The sequence below is a fragment of the Homo sapiens genome, chromosome 6 (genome assembly GCF_000001405.40).
Source record: "Homo sapiens chromosome 6, GRCh38.p14 Primary Assembly".
Taxonomy (NCBI): domain Eukaryota; kingdom Metazoa; phylum Chordata; class Mammalia; order Primates; family Hominidae; genus Homo; species Homo sapiens.
In genome coordinates, this window is record NC_000006.12 from 14,067,292 (window position 1) to 14,073,338 (window position 6,047).

At 44.4% G+C, this 6,047-nt stretch overlaps 1 annotated feature.

Annotated features, from left to right (window-relative positions):
• Positions 2,273 to 2,374: a silencer, noted in NCBI's record as "fragment chr6:14069795-14069896 (GRCh37/hg19 assembly coordinates)". NCBI's record gives its function as "represses an EF-1alpha promoter that drives an FKBP-Casp9 reporter gene in an ReSE screen in phorbol 12-myristate 13-acetate-treated (for megakaryocytic differentiation) K562 erythroleukemia cells {active_cell/tissue: K562(+PMA)}" and the evidence as "EXISTENCE:reporter gene assay evidence [ECO:0000049][PMID:32094911]".

A 6,047-nucleotide genomic window follows, 5' to 3' on the forward strand; every position in this document is an offset into this window, starting at 1 on the left:
AATAAACCTTTGCAGTTGTAGCCATCATTTGAAAGATGAGGAAACTGAAGCTCAAAGCTGTAACGGATTTCTTTTTTTTTTTCTTTTTTTGAGACAGAGTCTTGCTCTGTCTCCCAGGCTGGAATGCAGTGGTGTGATCTCAGCTCACTGCAACCTCTGCTTCCCAGGTTCAAGCGATTCTCCTGCCTCAGCCTCCCAAGTAGCTGGGATGACAGGCGCCCGCCACCATGCCAGGCTAATCGTTTGTATTTTTAGTAGAGACAGGGTTTCGCCGTGTTGGCCAGGCTGGTCTTGAACTCCTGACCTCAGGTGATCCACTTGCCTTGGCCTCCCAAAGTGCTGGGATTACAGGCGTGAGCCACCACACCCTGCCTGTACCAGATTTCTTGAGTTCAAATCACTAGCAAGCAGTTCTGGCAAGATGGAATACAGGGCTCTGGTTTTTTATTCCAAAATGAAATCATAACACAGAATCAGCGTAAGCCTTAACATAACTCCACAATTAGTGGTGGCCTTCCAACTGCTCCACCCACAGTCCTGGGGGGGGGTGTGTCCATGTGCTGTTCTGTGTGAAGGTCACCCTTGGTAAGATCTGGTGGCTTTGGGATTCATTCCTGGGAGCAGCGTTGGGTATACACCCATCTGTGCACATCCTCTCCGCCAACCAGCAGATGCTTGTCAGATAGTGGCTGAGGTTAGAGGGCAAAGTCTGTGAGTGGAGACCCTGATCTACAAGGGCAGAGACCATAAAACAAGCTTTATTATACCGTGTTCTCACCCACCATTCCTCAATCTGGGAGGTGTAAGGAAGCTGTTCTTGTTAAGTGAAGATGTGGCCCAGATGGAGGAAAGGAAGGAGAGTCTGTTTTGTGATCTTTCTTGTGCTTGGACGTCACTGGAGAAGTCTATAGACCTATTCTTAAAATAATGGTTTCAAATGCATAAAAGGAAATACATGGGATTGTAAAGGAAACCAATTATGGGCAAGCGAAGTAACCACATTCTTTAAAAATATGTGATATTATGTGTCTTAGTCATCTTGGCTACTATAACAAACAAGCTGCCCACAGACTGGGCGGCTTAAGCAACAGACAATGATTTCTTATAGATCTAGAGGCTAGAAGTCCAAGATTACGATGCTGGTGAGAGACAGGACTAGCTGGATTTCCTAGGCTGACTAAGAATCCCTAAGCCTAGCTGGGAAGGTGACCGCATCCACCTTTAAACACAGGGCTTGCAACTTAGCTCACACCTGACCAATCAGGTAGTAAAGAGAGCTCACTAAAATGCTAGTTAGACAAAAACAGGAGGTAAAGAAATAGCCAATCATCTATCGCCTGAGCACGGAGGTGGGGGGACAGTGATCAAGATATAAACCCAGGCATTGGAGCTGGCAACGGCAACCCGCTTTGGGTCCCCTCCCTTTGTATGGGAGCTCTGTTTTCACTCTATTAAATCTTGCAACTGCACTCTTCTGGACCGTGTTTGTTACGGCTCGAGCTGAGCTTTCGCTCACTGTCCACCACTGCTGTTGGCCACTGCCGCAGACCCGCCGCTGACTTCCATCCCTCCGGATCTGGCAGGGTGTCCGCTGTGCTCCTGATCCAAGGAGGCGCCTGTTGCCACTCCTGATTGGGCTAAAAGTTTGCCATTGTTCCTGCACGGCTAAGTGCCCGGGTTCCTCCTAATGGAGCTGAACACTAGTCGCTGGGTTCCACGGTTCTCTTCCGTGACCCACAGCTTCTAATAGGGCTATAACACTCACCGCATGGCCCAAGCTTCCATTCCTTGGAATCCGTGAGGCCAAGAACCCCAGGTCAGAGAATAAGAGGCTTGCTGCCATCTTGGGAGCGGCCCCCCCGCATCTTGGGAGCTCTAAGAACAAAGACCCCTGGTAACACTGGCAGATTTGGGTTTTGGTGAGGGCCCTCTGTCTGGCTTCACAGTGCCACCTTCTCCCTGGATCTCCACATGGCAGGGAGAGAGAGAGAGAGGAGTGGGGAGAGAGAGAGGACGGGGAGAGAGAGGTCTGGTATCTCCTCCTCTTCTTATAAGAGCACCAATTCCATCATAGGGACTCCAACCTCCTGATGCCATCTAAACCTAATCACCTCCCAAAGTTCCCACCTCCTAAATACCTTCACATTGGGCGTTAGTACTTCAACATATGACTTTGGAAAGGGGGGACACAAACTTTCAGACCTAATAACCACCATACTTGTGAAGGGGTGATGAGCATAGCTGGTATTTTGAGGTATCTGCCACAAGGAAAGAGAACATGAAAATATTGACAATTTCCTGTAGTGACAAAGTCTCAGGAACTTGGTATGCTATTGTGATTTGTTGCTTATGTACATAATTGAGGAAATGCTAAATTTCAGTAGGAAGTTAGTAAAAATAAGTATGTAATTTTCTCTCACCCATATTCGCAGACCCTGATTGTGACAGTTAATACTCAGTGTCAACGTGATTGGATTGAAGGATACAGAGTATCTCCCGTAGACTTCTCCAGTGAGGTCCAAGCACAAGAAAGATCACAAAACAGACTCTCCCTCTTTTCCTCAAAGATACAAAGATACAAAGTATCCTGGGTGTGTCTGTGAGGGCGTTGCTAACATTTGAGTCAGTGGGCTGGGAAAGGTAGACCCACCCGTAATCTGTGGCGGCACAATCTAATCAGCTGCCAGCTCAATTAGAATATAAGCAGGCAGAAAAACGTGAAAAGAGAGGCTGGCCTAGCCTCCCAGCCTACATCTTTCTCCCTTGCTGGTTGCTTCCTGCCCTCGAACATCGGACTCCAAGTTCTTCAGTTTTGGAACTCGGCCTATTGTGGGACCTTGTGATTGTGTGAGTTAACACTTAATAAACTCATATATATATATATATATATACACATATATACGTATATATATATATACACATATATATACATATATATGTGTGTGTGTGTGTGTGTGTGTGTGTATATATATATATATATATATATATATATATATATATGAGTTCTGTACCTCTAGAGAACCCTGACTAAAAACTGATATTCTGTCCGTGGGCCTTAGTTTATGAACCTCTGCCTTAGAGAATTCAGCAAACTTATTGGTTTGTAGTCAGCGGGATACAAGGAGTTTTGGAGCATGCTGCAATGGACTGTATTAAATAGCCCTGACAGGGTGCTGAGAGAGACAACTGTGATTGTGTGGGCAGGAATTGTCACACAAGCCGCCCCTGGCCGCAATATTCATCTTCCCCCAGCCATTTCTGGAATGGAGGACATGGATCAATTGTAAGGTCTATCCTAAATCCAGTGTCCTTTTCTCACTGCATGGCCTTGGGTGAAAGGGTGAAAAAGAATGTTAGCAGGTTGCGTCAGCCTCCTGGCCAGAGACCTCTGACTCCAATAGCGAGCTCTGCTTTTTTTTGTTGTTGTTATCTTCCTGGATATATTAGGAAATCCACAGATTTGTGTTCCTTAGGGAAACAGTTAATTTCTAGTGTTCAAGGCCAAATGAATCCTTTCATAAGTAGAGTAAAAGTTAAAATTCAAAAGGGGAGAGGTAGAAATAGTTGGGAGGGTGTCAAATCTCAATAGAAACATCTTTCCAAACTAGAAGCATTTTTTCTTGAACATTTTCAGTATCTAAACTAGTAAAAGATGTCTCAAAATATCTTTTCAACCTTGTTAAGGAAAACCATTGACCAATTCTAGAGGGACTATTTTAAAGCCATTTCTTTGAGTCCATCCTGAAATTAAAACACTCAGGGAGATGTTCTAATTAAACTTTCTAATAAAAAAGAAAAATGCCCCATATCACTTCATTTAGATGCTTCTCCTGCCTCCAAGTTAATAGTGTCATTGGTACCTTTTCAACATATGAGAGCTTAGGCTCACGGAAGGCCTCTAGTGCATGTACACCTGATGTTCACTGTGGTCAGATGTCCACAATGTGGCACTTCTGCAACAGGCATGCTTATGTGCTGGGGGTGGGGAGGGAGGATGATGACTATGCTGGGGAGGAAGGTGGGCTCCTGGCTGCAGGCACATTCAGAAAACTGTCCGCCTCCATCACCTTTCCAAAAGCCAGGCCTGCTTTAATGAGGTGGGAGCAGGAAGGAAGTGAAGACTTATCACAAGGGAAGCAGATGGGGGACAGAAGAAGCCAGAGAAGGGCAGTTATGGAATGCATTTGGAGTTATAAAAAAGTTAGTTGTTGCTCGGCGTGGTGGCTCATACCTGCAATCGCAGCACCTTGGGAGGCCAAGGTGGGCAGTTTGCTTGAGCTCAGGAGTTCAAAGCCAGCCTGGGCAACATGGTAAAACCCCATCTGTACAAAAAAATACAAAAATTTAGCCAGGTCTAGTGGCCCAAGCCTGTAGTCCCAGCTACTCGGGAGGCTGAGGTGGGTGGATCACCTGAGCCTGGGGAGTTGGCTGCAGTGAGCTGTGATGTCACTTACTGCACTCCAGCCTGGGCGACAGAGCAAGACTCTGTCTCAGAAAAAACAAAAACAAAAACAAAAAACAAGTTGTGGCCTGTCATCTCAGCACTTTGGGAGGCCGACGAGGCGGGCAAATCACCTGAGGTCAGCAGTACGAGACTAGCCTGGCCAACATGGTGAAACCCCATCTCTACTAAAACCACAAAAGTTAGCCGGGCATGGTGGCACATGCCTGTAATCCCAGCTACTTGGGAGGCTGAGGCAGGAGAATCACTTGAACCCGGGAGGTGGTGGTTGTAGTGAGCTGAAATTGCGCCATTGCACTCCAGCCTGGGTGACAAAGTGAGACTCCGTCTCAAAAAAAAAAAAAAAAAAAAAAGTGGTCCTAGTGCTTTTTTGTGAAAAGGGAAATTCTCAATATGATGCAGACATACCCGCTGATTCCCGTAATTTCAGGCTGTTAGCAAGAAAAGCCAAGGGGATTTTTAAAAGCCCATGAGCCACATTCGGTGAATACACTGGGCATGTGCTCCACTCTCCCCAGCATCTGACTCATCTTAACACACAAACCAACAAATTCTCCACCCGAAGCCAGAGTGCAGCCTGACCAACATGCCTCTTGGTTTTTAAGGGTCTTTATCTTTTGAGAGGATAGACACTAAAACAATTTGTACTGGCCGGGCATGGTGGCTCACACCTGTAGTCCCAGCACTTTGGGAGGCCAAAGTGGGTGGATCACCTGAGGTCAGGAGTTCAAGACCAGCCAGGCCAACATGGTGAAACCCCATCTCTACTAAAAATCAAAAACTAGCTGGGCTTGGTGGTGCATGCCTGTAATCCCAGCTACCTGAGAGGCTGAGGTAGGAGAGTCGTTTGAACCCAGGAGGCAGAGGTTTCAGTGAGCCAAGATCATGCCACTGCACTCCAGCCTGGGTAACAGAGCAAGACTCCACTGTAAATAAATAAATAAAATAAAATAATTTGTACTGAATAAATGAAGACTAGCTCAGAGAATATAAAAGCATAAACATTTTATTTTGGTAAACTCTCTTTTAGTTTTTGTTTATACATCAATATTTAAATGCAAATATAAACAGAATATACCTTTTTATATAATTTATATTGTTTCAATATAATATGTACATTTTCTCATGATGGCCTATAGCCTTTGTAATTACCAAGTGGCTGTATACAGGGAGATAATATACCATAATTTATTAATTATGCTTCCATTTTTGCATATGCATTTCTTTTCCAATTTTTTGCTATTTTGATGTTTTTCCTTCATAGAGCTTTTTCCTTCACTTGAATTAAGGAGGCATTTTTGGGATAAATTCTCAAGAATTGCATAATTGGAGCACAGAATATGAACACCTTGTTTAAATGAATATATATTATCAGTTTGCTTTGCCAAAGAGTTGTATAAATTGACAATATCAACAGCATTGAAGGGTGTTCTAATTTTATCATAAATTCACCAGCATAAGGTCCTGTCTTTAAAAACCCTTTGTTAATTTAGAAGATATATGATGATTATTTTAAAAATTTACATCAGCTTACTGATGAGATTGGACATTTCCCCATATATCTGTTTCCTATTTGTATTTTCAC